At 38.0% G+C, this 20,709-nt stretch overlaps 2 protein-coding genes across 21 annotated transcripts in view, besides 3 other annotated features; one reads left to right on the top strand and one right to left on the bottom strand.

Moving 5' to 3' along the window:
* Window positions 1-20,346, bottom strand: part of AFG2A (AAA ATPase AFG2A) — a 396,356-nt gene extending 376,010 nt beyond the window's left edge. For 11 of the 20 annotated variants that reach the window (XR_007096375.1, XR_007096377.1, NM_001438322.1 and 8 more), the window contains exons 1-8: window positions 20,119-20,346; window positions 15,666-15,790; window positions 14,227-14,384; window positions 9,927-9,985; window positions 8,686-9,327; window positions 7,581-7,710; window positions 7,268-7,324; window positions 5,175-5,298 (exon numbers count right to left, since the gene is read on the bottom strand). Coding sequence is in view for 17 of the 20 variants with exons in the window: in NM_001438322.1 (NP_001425251.1) it covers window positions 5,175-5,298; window positions 7,268-7,324; window positions 7,581-7,710; window positions 8,686-9,327; window positions 9,927-9,985; window positions 14,227-14,384; window positions 15,666-15,790; window positions 20,119-20,281 (1,458 nt within the window). In the remaining 3 variants the exon portion in view is untranslated. Of the gene's footprint in view, window positions 1-5,174; window positions 5,299-7,267; window positions 7,325-7,580; window positions 7,711-8,685; window positions 9,328-9,926; window positions 9,986-12,581; window positions 13,723-14,226; window positions 14,385-15,665; window positions 15,791-20,118 lie in introns of those variants that run through there. The other 9 variants (XR_007096376.1, NM_001437913.1, NM_001345856.2 and 6 more) reach the window with 2 other exon arrangements.
* Window positions 19,985-20,354: an enhancer, noted in NCBI's record as "active region_21880". NCBI's record gives its function as "activates an Ori minimal core promoter by ATAC-STARR-seq in GM12878 lymphoblastoid cells {active_cell/tissue: GM12878}" and the evidence as "EXISTENCE:reporter gene assay evidence [ECO:0000049][PMID:35858748]".
* Window positions 19,985-20,683: a biological region, named in NCBI's record as "NANOG-H3K27ac-H3K4me1 hESC enhancer GRCh37_chr4:123843896-123844432".
* Window positions 20,147-20,683: an enhancer, noted in NCBI's record as "NANOG-H3K27ac-H3K4me1 hESC enhancer chr4:123843896-123844432 (GRCh37/hg19 assembly coordinates)". NCBI's record gives its function as "activates a minimal SCP1, AML or CMV promoter by ChIP-STARR-seq in naive H9 embryonic stem cells {active_cell/tissue: H9 hESC(naive)}" and the evidence as "EXISTENCE:reporter gene assay evidence [ECO:0000049][PMID:30033119]".
* NUDT6 (nudix hydrolase 6) overlaps window positions 20,456-20,709 on the top strand; it is a 30,392-nt gene continuing 30,138 nt past the window's right edge. Inside the window, exon 1 of the mRNA NM_198041.3 lies at window positions 20,456-20,623. The gene's annotated coding sequence lies outside the window, so the exon portion shown is untranslated. The remainder of the gene's footprint in view (window positions 20,624-20,709) is intronic.

The following is a 20,709-nucleotide window of genomic DNA, read 5'->3' as shown; positions in this document are numbered from 1 at the left end:
AACCAACAAAGATCAAAAGAGACAAAGAAGGCCATTACATAATGGTAAAGGGATCAATTCAACACGAAGAGCTAACTATCCTAAATATATATGCACCCAAAACAGGAGCACCCAGATTCATAAAGCAAGTCCTGAGTGACCTACAAAGAGACTTAGACGCCCACACAATAATAATGGGAGACTTTCACACCCCACTGTCAACATTAGACAGATCAACAAGACAGAAAGTTAACAAGGATACCCAGGAATTGAACTCAGCTCTGCAACAAGTGGACCTAATAGACACCTACACAACTCTCCACCCCAGATCAACAGAATATACATTCTTTTCAGCACCACACCACACCTATTCCATAATTGACCACATAGTTGGAAGTAAAGCTCTCCTCAGCAAATGTAAAAGAACAGAAATTATAACAAACTGTCTCTCAGACCACAGTGCAATCAAACTACAACTCAGGATTAAGAAACTCACTCAAAACTGCTCAACTACATGGAAACTGAACAACCTGCTCCTGAATGACTACTGGGTACATAACGAAATGAAGGCAGAAATAAAGATGTTCTTTGAAACCAACGAGAACAAAGACACAACATACCAGAATCTCTGGGACACATTCAAAGCAGTGTGTAGAGGGAAATTTATAGCACTAAATGCCCACAAGAGAAAGCAGGAAAGATCCAAAATTGACACCCTAACAACACAATTAAAAGAACTAGAAAAGCAAGAGCAAACACATTCAAAAGCTAGCAGAAGGCAAGAAATAACTAAGATCAGAGCAGAACTGAAGGAAATAGAGACATAAAAAAACCCTTCAAAACATTAATGAACCCAGGAGCTGGTTTTTTGGAAGGATGAACAAAATTGATAGACCGCTAGCAAGACTAATAAAGAAAAAAAGAGAGAAGAATCAAATAGACGCAATAAAAAATGATAAAGGGGATATCAGCACCGATCCCACAGAAATACAAACTACCATCAGAGAATACTACAAACACCTCTACGCAAATAAACTAGAAAATCTAGAAGAAATGGATACATTCCTCGACACATACACCCTCCCAAGACTAAACCAGGAAGAAGTTGAATCTCTGAATAGACCAATAACAGGATCTGAAATTGTGGCAATAATCAATAGCTTACCAACCAAAAAGAGTCCAGGACCACATGGATTCACAGCCGAATTCTACCAGAGGTACAAGGAGGAACTGGTACCGTTCCTTCTGAAACTATTCCAATCAATAGAAAAAGAGGGAATCCTCCCTAACTCATTTTATGAGGCCAGCATCATCCTGATACCAAAGCCGGGCAGAGACACAACCAAAAAAGAGAATTTTAGACCAATCTCCTTGATGAACATTGATGCAAAAATCCTCAATAAAATACTGGCAAACCGAATCCAGCAGCACATCAAAAAGCTTATCCACCATGATCAAGCGGGCTTCATCCCTGGGATGCAAGGCTGGTTCAATATATGCAAATCAATAAATGTAATCCAGCATATAAACAGAACCAAAGACAAAAACCACATGATTATCTCAATAGATGCAGAAAAGGCCTTTGACAAAATTCAACAACCTTCATGCTAAAAACTCTCAATAAATTAGGTATTGATGGGACATATCTCAAAATAATAAGAGCTATCTATGACAAACCCACAGCCAGTATCATACTGAATAGGCAAAAACTGGAAGCATTCCCTTTGAAAACTGGCACAAGACAGGGATGCCCTCTCTCAACACTCCTATTCAACATAGTGTTGGAAGTTCTGGCCAGGGCAATCAGGCAGGAGAAGGAAATAAAGGGTATTCAGTTAGGAAAAGAGGAAGTCAAATTGTCCCTGTTTGCAGACAACATGATTGTATATCTAGAAAACCCCACTGTCTCAGCCCAAAACTTCCTTAAGCTGATAAGCAACTTCAGCAAAGTCCCAGGATACAAAATCAATGTACAAAAATCACAAGCATTCTTATACACCGATAACAGACAAACAGAGAGCCAAATCATGAGTGAACTCCCATTCACAATTGCTTCAAAGAGAATAAAATACCTAGGAATCCAACTTACAAGGGACGTGAAGGACCTCTTCAAGGAGAACTACAAACTACTGCTCGAGGAAATAAAAGAGGATACAAAGAAATGGAAGAACATTCCATGCTCATGGGTAGGAAGAATCAATATCGTGAAAATGGCCACACTGCCCAAGGTAATTTATAGATTCAATGCCATCCCCATCAAGCTACCAATGACTTTCTTCACAGAATTGGAAAAAACTACTTTAAAGTTCATATGGAACCAAAAAAGAGCCCGCATCACCAAGTCAATCCTAAGCCAAAAGAACAAAGCTGGAGGCATCATGCTACCTGACTTCAAACTATACTACAAGGCCACAGTAACCAAACAGCATGGTACTGGTACCAAAACAGAGATATAGATCAATGGAACAGAACAGAGCCCTCAGAAATAATGCCACATATCTACAACTATCTGATCTTTGGACAAACCTGACAAAAACAAGCAATGGGGAAAGGATTCCCTATTTAATAAATGGTGCTGGGAAAACTGGCTAGCCATATGTAGAAAGCTGAAACTGGATCCCTTCCTTACACCTTATACAAAAATTAATTCAAGATGGATTAAAGACTTAAACGTTAGACCTAAAACCATAAAAACCCTAGAAGAAAACCTAGGCATTACCATTCAGGACATAGGCATGGGTAAGGACTTCATGTCTAAAACACCAAAAGCAATGGCAACAAAAGCCAAAATTGACAAATGGGATCTAATTAAACTAAGGAGCTTCTGCACAGCAAAAGAAACTACCATCAGAGTGAACAGGGAAGCTACAGAATGGGAGAAAATTTTCGCAACCTACTCATCTGACAAAGGGCTAATATCCAGAATCTACAATGAACTCAAACAAATTTACAAGAAAAAAACAAACAACCCCATCAAAAAGTGGGCAAAGGATATGAACAGACACTTCTCAGAAGAAGACATTTATGCAGTCAAAAGACACATGAAAAAATGCTCATCATCACTGGCCATCAGAGAAATGCAAATCAAAACCACAATGAGATACCATCTCACACCAGTTAGAATGGCAATCATTAAAAAGTCAGGAAACAACAGGTGCTAGAGAGGATGTGGAGAAATAGGAACACTTTTACACTGTTGGTGGGACTGTAAACTAGTTCAACCATTGTGGAAGTCAGTGTGGCGATTCCTCAGGGATCTAGAACTAGAAATACCATTTGACCCAGCCATCCCATTACTGGGTATATACTCAAAGGACTATAAATCATGCTGCTATAAAGACACATGCACACGTATGTTTATTGCGGCACTATTCACAATAGCAAAGACTTGGAACCAACCCAAATGTCCCACAATGACAGACTGGATTAAGAAAATGTGGCACATATACACCATGGAATACTATGCAGCCATAAAAAATGATGAGTTCATGTCCTTTACAGGGACATGGATGAAACTGGAAATCATCATTCTCAGCAAACTATCGCAAGGACAAAAAACCAAACACTGCATGTTCTCACTCATAGATGGGAATTGAACAATGAGAACACATGGACACAGGAAGGGGACCATCACACTCTGGGGCCTGTTGTGGAGTTGGGGGAGGGGCGAGGGATAGCATTAGGAGATATAACTAATGCTAAACGACGAGTTAATGGGTGCAGCACACCATCATGGCACATGTATACATATGTAACTAACCTGCACATTGTGCACATGTACCCTAAAACTTAAAGTATAAAAAAAAAAAAATTCTAAATGACCAGCTTTTTAATGTGCAAAAGAGGCTTGATACTACATAATTTCTAAAATTTATTGTGGTTCTAACATATTATGATTCTAAAAACTTTACTTATTCATAATCCAGCATGAAAAGTGTATTTTTCTAATTAATGGATGTCAGGAGTCTTAGAAAATTTTTGTTCATGCCTATTCTCTTATTAGTCCTATGAATGTTCCTTCCATAATTAGCATATAGTTTTTATTAATAAAAGAACATATCCCGGCTGGGCGCGGTGGCTCACGCCTGTAATCCCAGCACTTTGGGAGGCCGAGGCGGGCGGATCACCTGAGGTCAGGAGCTCGAGACCAGCCTGAACATGGAGAAACCCCGTCTCTACTAAAAATACAAAATCAGCCAGGCGTGGTGGTACATGCCTGTAATCCCAGCTACTCGGGAGGCTGAGGCAGGAGAATTGCTTGAACCTGGGAGGCAGAGGTTGCGGTGAGCCGAGATTGTGCCATTGCACTCCAGCCTGGGCAACAAGAGCGAAACTCTGTCTCCAAAAAAAAAAAAAAAAAAAAAAAAAAGAAAGAACATATCCCCTATGAGAGAATCTGGTAATATGAATAAGTTTTTTTTTAAATGTTATACAAAACATTTCGCATTATTCTCACTTTCTTTCATTTCCCTAGTACAAAGCCTTGAAAGAGTCCATTTGTACATGGGTAATAAGACTTACTCATGACATTTCTTAATAAAAACCCCTAAGGCCAGATGTAGCGGCTCACACCTATAATCCCAGCACTTTGGAAGGCCAAGGCGGGTAGATGACAAGGTAAGGAGTTCGAGACCAGCCTGGCCAACATGGTGAAACCCCATCTCTACTAAGAAGATTTAAAAAAAAATTAGCCAGGTGTGATGGTGCATGCCTGTAGTCCCAGCTACTCAGGAGGCTGAGGCAGGAGAATCGCTTGAACCTGGAAGGTGGAGGTTGCAGTTAGCTGAGACTGCGCCACTGCACTCCAGCCTGGATGACAGGGCAAGACTCAATCTCAAAAACAATAATAATAAATAAAAATAAAATAAAATCCCCTAAAATTTAACTGCTAAATCTTCCTTACTGATCTTTGCTTCAAGTTTTAAAGCTAACAGCATTTATCACAAAATAAATCCATCATGGTATAGTATTTTATATGCTAGAAAAAACCTGCCAGGTTATGATGTTGTCCTAGCAGTTACTAAGTAATCTACTAAAGCAAATTATTTTACAGATCTTTCCCCTAGTTGCTATGGCTAATATTTTTCCTTTATCCTAAAATATCCAAAGACTCTGACACATTCAATAGTTTTTACCACTACACATAAGTATTAAGAATTAACCCTACACAGAATCAATACTAGTGCTATACTTACTGAACCAATGCCATCCATCAGTGTTAAGAGTGAAGCCACAACTCTTTTTTCCACTTCATTCTGGGCCCCCTCTCTTTTCGGACAAAGTGCATCCAGCTCATCAATAAAAATAATTGATGGGTGTCTAAAAACAAACAAGTAAAATGAAATCTCTCATCTATATTTGATTTTAAGTTTTACTTAGTTTTAATTTTTTTAACTGAAATGCAACATATCAAATTTAGAATTCACTTAATATTATAAAGATATTATAATGTTAAGCTAAAAATCCTTAGATTCATTCTAGCCCAAAATACTAATTCACTAACTTCATATTCTATTCTATCTGCCCTCCATTAAAAGGCTGGGTAATTGAGTAGAGTATGCTGCTTAAAAGATAAGAGTCTCTTAAGAACTCTCCCCAGTAATGCCCATTAAGTTGTTATGACTGGATCAATTCAGAAGCTGAGGCCAGAGATACTATCCCTTGGAGCAGGTTTGAAACCAAAGGACATAAACTAGAAATGCCCTGTTATTTTTAAACCATTAAAATAAAAACTTGCAAGATGATCAATTCTCCCATAAACAGATGTGAATTCTCTCACAGAAGGAAATCTCAACTGCCATGAACACAACAACAACAAAAGCATACTAAACAATAAGGTGTACCACTAGTTTTCAAATTTTCAGTACAGTACTAGGACTACAAACTGCTTACTTCATCTACTATCATTGGGGGAAAAAAATAAACTTCAAAAATGGTGGGTTTTCTGATTCAAGAGCAGTAGTTATGATATTAAACACCAAGACAGCCAGCATTTTGGGAGGCTGAGGCAGGAGAATGGCTTGAGCCCAGGAGTTCAAGACCAGCCTGGCCAACATAGCAAGACCCTGTTGCTAGAAAAAAAAATACAAAAATTAGCTGGGCATGGTGGTGCTCACCTATAGTTCCAGCTACTTGGGAGGCTACAGGGGGAGGATCACTTGAGCTCAGGGAATTTAGATTTCAATGTTACACTGTAATGAGTATTAGGATATTGGTCTATAACTTGGTCAAACATAACGTCACTCATAATATGGCTATGTCTCTACCACTGTTTTGATTTTGCTTGTTTGTTTGTTTTTGAGACGGGGTGTGTGTTGCCCAGGCTAGAGTGCAGCAGTGAAATCATGGCTCACTACAGCCTTGATCTCCCAGCTCAGTGATCCTCCTGCCTCAGCTTCCTTAGTAGGTGGGACTACAGGCATGTGCTACCATGCCCAACTAATTATTTTTATTTTTATTTTTTCGAGTCAAAGTCTCGCTCTTGTCCCCCATGCTGGAGTGCAATGGCACGATCTCAACTGACTGCAACCTCCACCTCCTGGGTTCAAGAGATTCTCTTGCCTCAGCCTCCCGAGTAGCTGGGATTACAAGCACTTGCCACCACACCTGGCTAATTTTTGTATTTTTAGTAGAGACGGGGTTTCACTATGTTAGCCAGGCTGGTCTCAAACTCCTGACCTCAGGTGATCTGCCTGCCTCGGTCTCCCAAAGTGCTGGGATTACAGGCGTGAGCCACCGCACCCAGCCAATTATTTTTATTTTTAAACAGACAGGGTCCCACTATGTTGCCCAGGCTGGTCTCAAACTCCTGGGGTCAAGCAATCCTCCTGCCTTGGCCTCCCAAAGTGATGGTATTACAGGCATGAGCCACCACACCCAGCCAGAGTCATTATTTAATGGGCAAAAGATTTGTCCCTTTGAAGCAAAGTATAACATAACAAAGTTCTAGTATAAAGAGCTACATACAATAATACAGTCTACTAGAAAAGCTAAGCATATTAGAAACACCTAAGCACCTAAAGAAAGTCATGGATTTCTATGCTCAAACAAGGTCACATGACTTATCAAACACTATGTCTTAATTCTTCTACTTTATGTAATTTAATAATATTTATCAAACTTTTAAAGATTAGATAGAAATAGAATTTCATTAGATCTATAATCTACTTCTACCACTATCACTATAATTTTTGTACTACTGTTTATGCTTTGTATAAGGTGCTAGTATCTCACTTTGACTAATACAGCCTTGATTATTAATTCCAAAACATTTAAAAATAAAGAGTACCGTAGAGTGGCTTCAGCAAATATCTGACGTAACTTTGCTTCAGTCTCACCATAGAATCTGTAACAAATAAAATACATTTAAAGACCATTTCTTATTGTTTTTAAAGCTTTGTCTATAAAAGCTAACCTAAATTTTCAATATTTCTATAATACTTAAAATTACTTTCAAAAAGAATTTTCCAAACAATTTTTATTAAGAAGCAAAATATTTCAGTGTACAAAATATCACACAGAATACTACACAATCATTTTTAAAAACCACATTTTAGAAATATATTTAATAGTAAGTTTACTCTATTAAATCATGTACTTACTTGCTTATAATTTCAGGACCATTAATTACAGAAACATAGGCTCCAACTTCATTAGCAACAGCCCTGGCGATCATTGTTTTTCCAGTACCTGGAGGACCATAAAGTAACACTCCTCTAGGGGCAGGAATTCCTGGAAGAAAAAGTAGAAAACACTAGATTCACCATTACTAGGTTTCTTATAAATGTTGTCATACAAGTTCAAACATGAGTTATAAAATTTAACTTTACCTTGCGTCACAAAAAGAGTCAAGAGTTTTTTCTCCCCCTCCAGAAAGATGTACTAACTAGCCCAAACACTGATACCCAGCAATGACTTTCTCTCTCTGTAGACCACAGAACAGAGGAAGCATGTTGGTTAAAAAAAAAAAAAACTGGACACCCACATTGTTGCAACGCCCCATCCCACACAACACAGATCAATGATCGAAAAACCAAGCACAGACAACACAGGTAGACAAGCCACCAATCCCAGTTTTTTTCCAACTAACCATCTTGAAGAGTACATACGTTTGCTAGTATAAAAGGTACATAAGTATGAGCAAAATGCCAATCTAAGGGTTCATTTTACACATACATATATATACATACATGTATGTATATATAAGATTTATGAGAAAGGAAAAAAGCAGAGAGATCAGACACAGCAAATATATGCAAAGGATCTTGGCAATAACAATGCAGCAGAAGCCCTGAGTTTCCTGAGTCAAGCCATTCCCGTAATTACCTGCTTCAGTGCAAAGAGATGGGTACACAGTTACATTTCCTAAGAAGTTTTACCTAATGTATTTGAATGGTTTATCCCTTCAGTCATTACAGATGACCCAGCATGACAAGATACTTATTCTAGATCCAATACAGGTAATTGTGGAAATATGCTATTAGAAGAGACAAGGCTGTCACTAATTCACATTACAACCTAAAAATACCAAAGCATAGCAAATGGCCCATTTAACTGGCATCTCCCAAAGCAACTGAAATCTTCTACCATACCTACTACTCAGAAAATAAAAACAGGAAAAGAGGATGAGCAATCATTACATAAGTGTCAACTGTCTTTTAATTTGAATTTAACATTTTTGGGTGCAATAAACTGAAGACATCATACCATAACTCTTGAAAAGCTCAGGCTGTTTGAGGGGCAATTCAATTATTTCTCTAATTGCTTTCAGCTGGCTACTTAATCCTCCTATCATGTCATAAGTTACTTTGAATTGGTTGTCTTGCTCTTTTGAATTTTTATCAATCTCTGTAAAATTGACTCTTGTTGTTGAAGAAATAAAATAAAAAGTATCAGTATTGCACTTTGCTCCTATGCTGAACTTTAGCAGTCTCTCTTCTTCAGTAAGTTGCTCATTTCCTTCTCTGGCAGATTCAAAATTACATTTAAGACCTGTGACTTCCTCTAGCATAAGTCCACTGCCATCTCCAGGGCTCTGTGTAACATCCAGCAAAACATCACTGGCTTTATTTGTAATTCTGTCATCAATTGGTTTATAAGGAGTACTTCTTGATGTTGGGATCTGGGTATCCTCCAGATCTAACTGGCTTAGCTGTAAGGATAACTCCAGGCTACTGGTTTCCATGCTGGACTGTTCAAAGGCCATTCTTTGGGCATCAGTGTCAGAGTCACTCTGAGGCCCTCCCAATATCATGCCATCTGCCCCTTTCACTCGCAATACTTGCAGCTTGTACGGTCGTCCATAGAATGTACAATACAGAAAGTTGCCTGGTAAAACAATCTTGCCATCTAGAAAACAGTATATTAAATATACATGTTAGCATAATTTTTTTTACCAGTTTAATGTTTAAATAGCAATATATTTCATCTATTATCTGAAAAGACTAAATCAAAGACAGAGTATTAATAAAATAATTGTCATAAAAAATTGAGGACCTAATATTCCCCTATAACACCATCTGGAGACAGAAGGAAATGATTCTCTGAAATCCTCCACACTCAGTAGATCTCAGATTCTATCAATCACATCAACAAATAGCCAGGCATTCCATATTCAATAATAAACTAAATGAAAATGGCACACCCAAACCAACACTCCAAGATAGCATCTGTCACTGGAAAGGGCAAGAATGCAAAGGTTAAAAGTCTCAATTCTACCACTGACTCTTTCCACAGACAAGTCATATATTCTTTCCACTGCTCAACTGCCAATTAACCAGGAAAAGTAGCACATCCCTATCTTAAAAGTATATTCATTCATTGAGGGGAATATTCTCAAAGCTATTTTGAAGAAAACTACTATGCATATATAAGCCCTCAAAGACACTTTATTTGCTGATGCCTTGCAGCTTAAAACTTAAGAAAACAATTTAAAATATTTGTCTCACCTAGTTTTCTCAGGATACAACCAGTCAGTTCTTCTTCATTAATTTCCATATCTTTGTCACTGTAAAAGGATAAGAAGGGAACAGAAATCAGCATTAGGTACACCAGAAACTAAACTGTGATGTAAAATTACATGTATATGGTTATAATATAGACTTAATCAAAAGAATAATCCACCTGCAACCTTAAAATAAATAATGTATACAATTTTGAAATGATGGGCATTTTTCAGAAACATATAGCCATGAAAATATCATTTGGAATCTGGTGCCTTAGTGGCCTAAATCAATGTTCTTCAAAACACAAGGGTAATGAAATCATTTCAGTCAGCCTCATTCAGCACTTTGTTAATAGAATAAGAAATGCAGGGTACACTGAATATAGAAAGGGTAAATACTGCTTTGTAAAACATTAACTTCTAACACATACATACACACATGCACACATATGAGCACTATTATCTATGGATGTGTATATACAAAGAATCTGATGAAAAATCCATTTTTTATTGTCATAGGCAAAAACATTTTTAAAATGCTGACCTAAACTAATAATTCCCTTTATAAAGTTGCCTAGCTTGGAGAAAGACTCTAATTAATAACTTACTTCACTCTCTCAGTATAACTTACAAATTATTTCTTCAAGAAAATTAAGTCCTATACAGTATGTTACTTGAAAAGGCAGAAGTAGGAAAAAGAGGAGTAATGGTTACAATGAAGGTTTTTTTCTGGAGAAAGGGCATGACCAAGGAAAAATGAGATCCCCTCCTTCCTAATGATAACTGTGTCACCCCAGAGAGTTGCTTAAGTGCAGGAAGTGAACACACCTAAATATCATACATTTATAAAGAAATCTGCTCTTGAGGAGTTCTCAGAACATGAGCATTTTTCCTCCTCCTCTTGTGCATAAGCAGCCCATATCAGGAGGGGAGACAAACAGCTGTCTAGTTCTGTCAGTGACCAGTGGAGGGGGGACAGTTTAGCTCAAGGGGAAGTGTAAGTGATTGGAACTGAGCATGGTGGCTCATGCCTGTAATCCCAGCACTTTGGGAGGCTGAGGTGGGTGGACCGCTTGAGCTCAGGAGTTCAAGACCAGCCTGGGCAACATGGCAAAAATTCATCTCTACAAAAAATACAAAAGAAAACTAGCCAGACGTGGTGGCATGTGCCTGTGTGCCCATCTGGTCAAAAAATACCTTGTTCTCCAATCACTTTTTTTTTTTTTTGAGATGAGGTCTCGCTCTGTCACCCAGGCTGGAGTGCGGTGGTGTGATCTCAGCTCACTGCAACCTCCACCTCACAGGCTCAAGTGATCCTCCCACCTCAGCCTCTGGAGTAGCTGGGAACACAGGCGCTCACCACCACGCTCAGCTAATTTTTATACATATATATTTTTTGTAGAGGCGGTGTTTCACCATGTTTCCCAGGCTGGTCTCGAACTCCTAAGTTCAGGCGATCCACCCACCTCAGCCTCCCAAAGTGCTGGGATTACAGGCGTGAGCCACTGCGTCTGGCTTCCAATCACTTTTATCAGTAATAATACAATATAGTCAATCCTCAATACCTGTGGATGCTGTATTTGCAAATTTACCAACTCCCAAAAACTTATGTGTACCCCAAAATCAATACTCACAGAGCATTTGTGGTCATTAGTGACATGGAAGAGCAGCAAAAAATTTGGGTGACCCAACACCCATGTTACCATGTAGGATGAGGTGACACTCTGCCTTGTTTCAGCTTTCATTCAGAGATGACCAGAGAATGGAAGTGATAGGGGACACAGCAGTGTAGTGAAGAAGCTCCAGGCCTGGGGTCAGTTGGAGGGAGTGTGAATCCCAGCACTAGCACCTCAGGCAAGTCCCTTAACATTTCTAACACTTCTAAATCTCCTCTTCTGTTTTGTAAAATAAAGAAAATAAAATCTACCAGAAAGAATTACTTTGGAGTTTTAAGGTTATAATCTATGTAAAATGTGTGTGTATGTATATATATTATATATATACATACGCTACATATATTGTGTGTGTTGCATGTATGTATATACACACACATACGTATTTCCCTCTAGGAGAAATGGTTCAGTATTTGCTAACGGTGTTCAAGGCAACTTTAATAGAACATAACTAACCACAAATAATGAGAATCAACTATATATTCATATAAAAGAGAGAACAAGAGAGAAATACAATGAGGGGGAAATTTCATGAATCAAATATATGTATAAACTAATGAGAAAATTGCATGTATCTCCTTAAATGCTTACATTTACTTTTGTTTATGGAACTCTAAACCAAGTTATACTTAAATTGCTTTTGTTAAACTCTGAATAGAAGGTATTTACAAATACATGTAAAAACAGTAAAAATATCAAACCAATTTTGCTTTTAAAAAAATAATAGTTGCACATAAAATAATTTCCACTAGAAGGAGCTCTAACATTACTATTAATAATAAAATCTTACAGTTGCAACTGAAGGATTTAAGCAGACTAAAATGACTGATTTTCCCAACTGGAAGTTAACTTTCTTGTCTATACTCTGCTGCCACATTTAAAACATAAGATTTTTTAAAACATAAGATTTTTTAAAACAAAATTTTAAAACCTGAGCTTTCATTTAAAACATATCCAGTCCTCTCTAATAAGCAATCATTACTCACCTAAGACTGCTGTGCGCTCAAGAGGTCTGACTAGTTTGTAGGTCATCATAAATGCTAATTCCAGTCAACGAATTACTGCTACCTGTAGCACCATTTTAAGACATAGTCTGAGGAATAATCCAGTTTAATCTCAACAGTACTATTAACTACCTCATAAAATATTAGGCAAGTTCTCCTCAGACTATTTCATCTGTTTAAAAAGAAAAGGGTAACTGTGTGTGTGTGTATACATACATGCAATATATACAAAGCTTCTGTATACAGCCGGTACTCAACATATTGTCTCCTGTCCCTTCTGCTTTTTATTGTTCATTAAACTGTTACTATAAGCTCTGAAAACATTCTCCTGTTATAAAGGAAAAAATATGCCAAAACTCAAGTCTAAAATCTACAATAGTAGCAAAAGAGAACATATTAAAATCAAGCTGATGACTAGAAAATGGTTTGTAATTCTCACATATAATGTAAACACATCCCCCAAACTATTACTAAGGTGACATTAAAGTATAAAAAGATGCTTTTTGTAAATGATTTTTGAGAAGACTTGTATATGCAAACCAAGTCGATATCCTATTAGATAATAGAATATCCAGGAGGATGGATGATATACCTTAACTACCTTGATAGGTAGATTCAAACAATTACCCTGTGGTGAGGGATTATTTTAAAATCTGATAGTAATGACGGTTTGTTTTACTAAATCGAATAATCAACAAGTTAAAATATACAATCAGGTTCTTTGCTTGCATAGTCTTAATTAAAACTTGTTTCTGTTTGACTCACAGTAATCTACTCTTTTCTTTACAACTGTAAAATAAGAAGCCCTGATTACACTGCAAGTCAAGGTGAAAAACACTGCTAAATATGCATCAATGAAAATTACTCTCACCTAAAATGTCAGGGCACACTCTAATCATGGAAAATCAAAGTCCTTAGTCTATAAATTATATAGCACTCATTTAGCTTGGGTTGTCTAATATAACACAAGTGGCCACTAGCCACTCAGCACATGTAGCTATCAAATGTTTAAAATGGGGCTAGTCCAAACTGTGATGTGCTACAAGTGTAACATACACATTGATTTTGAAGACTTAGCTTGAAAAAAAGGATGCAAAATATCTTATTGGTAACTTTTTTTTTCTTTGAGACACAGTCTCACTCTGTCACCCAGGCTGGAGTGCAGTGGCGCGATCCCAGCTCACTGCAATCTCCACCTCCCAGGCTCAAGCAATCCTCCTGTCTCAGCCTCCCAAATAGTTGGGACTACAGGTACACACCACCATGCCCAGAAATTTTCTTTTTTGTATTTTTTGTAGAGACAGGGTTTTGCCATGTTGCTCAGGTTGGTCTTGAACTCCTGAGCTCAAGTAATCCACTCACCTCGGCCTCCCAAAGTGCTGAGATTACAGGCATAAGCCACCGCGCCCAGCCCTTATTGGTAATTTTTTATAATTACATGTTAAAATACATTTTTATATATACTGGTTAAATAAAACATACTATTGTAATTCATTGTACCTGTTTCTCTCTACTTTTTAAAATGTTACAAGAAAATGCAAAATTACATATGTGGTTTACATTTGTGACTCTTATATTTCTACTGGGCAGCTTTGATCCAGATAGTCACCAAAGAAAAGAGCCAAACCTCAGTGCCACATCCATTTCCTCAGCCTGTAGCACAGCACCCACAAGAGGCTGGACCTGGATGGCATCACCAGGCCTCACACCCACATTTTTCTGTGCCATTTCACTCAGGCCGACCTTGCCTCCAGGAAATCCTGCCATAGGCCAGGCTGTATACACCTGCCAGACAGAGGAAATAAAAATGTTAGAAAATAAATATTCATAGAATACCATCAATTTATAAGGTAGAATGCTAAGCACAGTCAAGCACTTAAGATATGCAAAATACAGTCTTTACCCAAAAAGAGTTACAATCTGATACCAATTGCAATAAGATAAATTGCATTTTTTAAAAAATTTAAATACTACATGGGCTCATGAAAAATAAACTTTTTAATAAATATTACATCTTTTTCTAAAGATCAAGAATGATCCCACAGTGAAGACGGTAGAAGATATGAAAAATATATGAAAAAAGATAAAGGCATTAACAGGTGATAATGAGAAAATGACAAAAATATTAAGGCAAAATAACTTGTAAAGTAATCCAGCCTGGAAATTAAACTACATCCAGGAAATAGTGAGGGACACAGAACAAGAGCTTTGTCAGAACCTGGGTCTTATCAGATTTAAATGTTAAGAGGGAGGAGCGAAAATTTCTAGCTTAAGCTCACACATTTATAGTCCTCTCTTCTAAAAGACACAGTAAAGGACCTTTAAAGCATAAGCCAGAAAAATGAAAAGAATAGGAGGGGTGCCATCAGCAGACAAAAAATTTCAAAGTATTTCCAAAGGATCCCCAGCAAATCAGAGAAGCATCAAAGGAAGCCATGAAAGATAAGGGGCTGGTAGCAGAAAAGAAAGCCAAGCTGCCAAAAATGATCCAGGAAAGGTTCCAGGCTTAGAATCTCAGGTATGAAAAATGACAGCAAGGAGAAACAGCTGAAACAAGGGAGAATAGTAAAATATTTATATACAGAACAGGTGACCTTCTTACCCCCAAAATAATATTTTTATAAAGAAATATAACTAACTGACAGGGAGAAATACTGTCACTATCGCCGGAGGCAACACTTCTCTCTACATAACATTTTAGGGGCTACTATGCCCAGCAGAGTCATAGACAGCAAAGGAACAGAGTTAATATACATGTTAATGTCTTTTAAAATACAGTTTTTCATTTATTCCTGCTTGTGTTGAAAATTAAAATCAGAAACATCTCAAACACAGGTTGAGTATCCCTTATCCAAAATGTTTGGGACCAGGAGCGTTTTGAATTTTCCATTTTGGAATATTTGCCTTATGTTTACTGGCTAAGCATCCCAAATCTGAAATCCAAAATGTTCCAATGAGCATTTCCTTTGACTACCATGGCACTCAAAAGCATTTCAGAGTTTAGATTCTTGGATTTGCAATGTTCAGTTTGTATTTCTAAACTAAGGAAATGAAAAAGACTCTTACCTCTTGCTTTCCGTTCAAACTAGTAAGCAACACTGGTCGACCTATACATATATTTGCAGACTTCATAGTGTTGAGTCCAAGATGAATAAGGGAATTCTGGAATGTTTTAGGAATTTTGTCATCTACTATGAAGGAAAAGAAAATTATTTTTGTACTACTTTGTAACAGAAGTTAAGGCATGCTTTCTTTTGCAGTAAATAAAAATACTCTAACCATATAACCACATGAATGTACTTACCATACCCTGGAGAAACTAGTGTTCCAACTTTTGTTATAACAAAACAGATTTAAAATCAAATGCTTTTGAGGGTCTACTGGCAACATATTAAGTATTAACTAAAAAGAAGATGTTTTATGGGGTGAGTATTGGTTTCTTTTTTTCTGAGTCTCTAATTTCATTAAGAAGTAAACATAATTGCAAAAGAGAGTCTCTGAGCTTTAAGTTCAAAGTTGAGTCAGCTACTAGTATTCAAAGGATTGAACTGGGAACTGGCACATCTATCTGGCTCTAGAGGATTAAGTTATGTTTCTACTTCTGCCCCACATTATGGTCACCAGATCTTTTTCTTTTGTATTACCAAGAATACGTAAAGAGAGTAACAGAAGTCGTCTTCCTTATACGAACACACACCACTAGTGATTTCAACTTTTGGCTGAAAAAGGGGGTCCAGAATTCAGGCCAGTTAACAACACCTCTGAAAATGATGTGCTGTCATCTCCACTCCTTTCTATCCACCCCACCCCCACCAAGCTCCATATTTAGTTAGGTGTCCCTCCTCTAATTCCTCCAGCACTCTGTGCTGCCAGTTAATAGCATTTACCATAATATTCATTTGTTTTAGTCTTTCTCCTTAATTGTATACTGCTTTGAAGCAGGAATTGGGTCCTATTTCTCTCTGTATCTCCAATGCTTACAGTGCATTAAATATAGCAGTTGCACAATAAATAGCCATAAAATGAATAAATGTAGTAAATAAGTATACAATGGTTTTCTTTTCAGCACAAAATCTATGAAACACTTAGAGAATTTAAAAATGTCACAACTTCATTATAAAATTTATTGTAAACATATATACCATAATCACAGAGCTCTACCTAAGTTTTCCTTAATAATCAGAAAACAGATATTCTGTAATAAAAAAGAAATTAAATCAAGGAAAGGAAAACCATAAGGTACCCATATGATTTACATTATTCTGTCACTACAAAACAACTCCCCAACACATTTCTTTTCCTTCTTATATGAGGTGCAAATCTAGAAAAACAAAGCATCTCACAGAGCTAAGATGAACAGCACTGAGTATAAAACGAAATGAACACATACTGCATAATACAAGAAGCTGGACAGAAATTCAACCTTCCAATGAGCATTAGTTCTCTTACATTGTTTGCTGGTCATTAACAGTAAAGCATACTGCTGTTAGATGATCTCATAATATTCAGTTCCTGCCTCTTTCTTCCTAAACCTCAATGAACTATCTTTCCCTCTTGACAATTACCACACAAGTGTTCTCAGTCCTTCCCAAGACTTTAGTTTTCTTCTTCTCCTTCCACCCTATCCAGCACATTCTCCATGTCCCAGGATTTATTCTCCACCTTGTCTTTCAATGGTAATCATGTTCAAATTCCCAGCCACTGGTCTCATTTTCCAAAACATCACCAACGTGTTCTCTGCTTACACTATATAGGTCTACTCAAGTTGTCCACACAGTTCCCTTCTCACCTCACTCCTCCAATACTTTAAAAATATGTCAACATCTAATTTCCCCATTAACTACTTTCACATTTATTGAGCACCTTAAGTATCACATTAACTAACAAGATAGTAAAGATAATTTCAAACAACCATCCACCCTTCATTTATTCATTCAGCAAATATGTACTATGTGCCTACTATATGAAAGATACTATGCTAGGCACTTTTGTTCACAAGTCCTTGGTCTCACAGAGTTTATAGCCTTGTAGGATGAGTGAGTTATTAAACAATCAGTGGATAGCTGTAAAATAATAAACTAAGATTAATACAATGAAAAAATGACTTAGAGTGCCAGGAGAGCCATGTGGGATCTGACCTAATTTCAAATAAGAGAATGTTTCTCAAAGGAAGTGATGTTAAGATCAGGTCTGAAAGAAGAGTAGGAACTAACTAAATGAGGAGAAGAAAAAGATAATTCTCAGCAAAGAGGACAGCATGTACAAAGTTCCTGGGCAGAAGGGGGTATGGCGCATCCTCAGGAGAGTATAGGCAGAGTGGTGGAGACATAGGGAAGCCATGTAAAGAAGGTCAAGACCACCCAGGACAATAGTGCAATAGGCTGCATCAAGATGCTGGTCATTACTCTGACAGCAGTGGGAGCCCAGAAAGGGATGAAAAGCAATGTCATGACAAGATCTTCATCTTACAAGATCATTCTGGCTGCAGAATGGAAAAGGAATAAGGGGCAAAATTGGAAGCTGGAAAATCAGTCAAAAGGCTGTTGTAGCAGTCCAGGTGAGAGATGATGGTGTCTGAAATTAAGGTAGAAACAGTGGGAATGGCATGCAGAAGAGGAATATGTAAAATATTTAGGTAATAAACATGATTTAGTGGTGGACTAGGTATGTGAGATATGGGGGGGAGAGTCATGGATGACTCTTAGGTTTCTGAATTTTGCAGCGGGAAAAACTGAACAGAGTTGAAGTTTATTTTGTTGGAGGAAATAACGGGCTCATGAAGTTAGTCCTGAAGTATCTTTGGGACACTCATGAGAAGAGTTATTGTACAGTGCTATTCAAAATATGACCCACAACGATTTGTTACTGCTTCATGACAAGTACAAAACAGGAGAATAAGTATATAGAAGCTTTTATTGAAATTTACAGAGTAATTTCACATCTGTTTAATAAAAATTTTTCCTTATTTTTCTAGAAAATCATTTTTACTGTATTTTAGAAAAGTGCTGATCTGTGACCTATTATAAATTTTAAAGTCTTCACCACAGAGAGCTTGAGAAGCATTTGGCTAAAAGGCAACCACATCAAGGCGCAAAAACAAAAGATTTACAAATATAAATCTGACACTGAAGAGACTATAGATGGGAAACTCTGGGCACTGGATGAACTTGCCAAGGAGACAGGATTTATTGAGAGGAAAAAAAAGGTTTTGGACTAAGAATTGACGAACTTCAACATTTAATGGTCAAGGGAAGAGGACGAGCCTGCAAAGAAAAATGATGAAACATCAACAAAGATGAAGAAAACCAGGCAAGTTTGACAACACATAAGAAGTTAAGTGTTTCGAGAAGGAGGGAATGGTCAACAATACCAAAAGTTGCTGTGGTCACGTAAGGTTTATCAACACGGAGATGCTCGGAGACCACACCAGGAACAGTTTCCATGGAATGATGGGGTGGAAGTCAAAGAGGAATAGGCTAGGGAGAGTATGTAAGTGGTGAGGCGGCAGAGACCACTCCATTTAAGAAGCTTGGCAATGGATAGAGAGACGGTTGCAGGAAGAAAATGTGGAGCTTTTGTTCTGATTTAAGATGGAAGAGAAATGAGCATGTTTACATGTCAATGGGAAGGATCTAGTTCAAAAACAAGTTGAACCTTCAGGACAGAACAAGTTGTCCTCTGATACCTAAGGCAGAGTGAAAATACCATGTGAACTCTAAATTGTCTTTAAGGTCTGATTAGACATAAAAGTTTTTGCCACTAGTCTGGTCCATTTTTCAAAGCTATTACACATCAAATATAAATTTTCAATTTTTAATTCAATTTATAAGACTTTTCAGTATAAATACGTTCTCCCAAATCAAAGGAGCTGTCATCTAGGAATGGCTTTTAAGTCAAACACATCTGGACTCAAATATCGGCTCTGCCACTTAGCACCTGTGTAGCCTGAATGGAATCACGTTAACTTTCCTCCCTCTATAAAACTGTCATTACTATACCCATCGGTCACGGCTTCTGTAGAAATTAGATGAGCTATATATACTGCTAACACTAGTGTGCAGTTACTAGCAGTTATTAAATATCATAACCTGCGTAGTACTGGAAGAAAATGCTATCATCACTCCTAAAGGCAGAGTGATCCACATTTTTACTGAATTGGTTATTTAGTTTTTTAGGATAAGTATCCCATGTTCGCTAGTTATGAACAATTTTGCAATTAAATGTGTCGTTAATGTTAAATGAGACAAAGCGTTTCAAGTGCAACTTAAAAATTCAAAATAATTTACAAAAGAGAAACCTTGGACACGGATAAACCATTTCAGCCTAACTTCTCCAGTGCAGGCGCGGCTACGTTTGCATGCTTCTTACATACAGAAGTCTTACACGCTTCTGTGCCGCTCTCAGACCCATGCCACGCCCAACTTTCAAAAGTCTCTGCACCCCAAGTCAGTATCACTGAGTCTCCCGCCCCTCAGGTTGCGCCCCCTCGGCCTCTAGTCTCCCACCCGGAATTCTTTACCCTTTTCTAATAAGTTGGTCACCGTCAGAGTCCCGGAGGTTGCCGCGAAGTCTGATCCAGCAGAAGGAGCCCGTGCCTCCGCACAAGAGGAAGCAGCAGAGGGCAAGGACGAACCATTTTCCGCGCTTTGGTTCAACCGCTTTCTATTCTTCTTGGAAGACATGGTCACAAGGTACCCTAGCCGAAGCAGTAGAAAAGCCGACTCAATGTGCGCGCTTCAACTGAGAGAAAAACTTCCGGGGCAGAAGTCAGCGAGGGTCCGCCCCTGCGCCGTAATCCCCTGAGTGGAGCGCAGCAGTGCACAGCGTGGTGGGAGGGACTGAGCGTTTTCAAAACCAGCAGTCTTTGAAACAGCTGTAACGGCATCTGTGAAAGAAGATAGGTTCCAGGAACGGAACTGCCACTTAGATTGTAAATTCCTGAAAAACAGGACGTTTTTGCATCTCCTCCCGGCTTCCCCATCCCTAAACCAACGTCTGTTGAATTAAACTACCAAACAAAATAAGTGAGTGGCGGTGGGGGAGGAGGTTTTCCCCGCTTAACTGGAGCGGGGCAAATTGCTGAGAAGGGCTGGTGGACCACTTCGCGGTC

The sequence above is a fragment of the Homo sapiens genome, chromosome 4, assembly GCF_000001405.40.
Source record: "Homo sapiens chromosome 4, GRCh38.p14 Primary Assembly".
NCBI classification, from domain to species: domain Eukaryota; kingdom Metazoa; phylum Chordata; class Mammalia; order Primates; family Hominidae; genus Homo; species Homo sapiens.
Note: the sequence above shows the minus strand (reverse complement) of the source record. Positions and strands in the feature narration are given on the sequence as shown.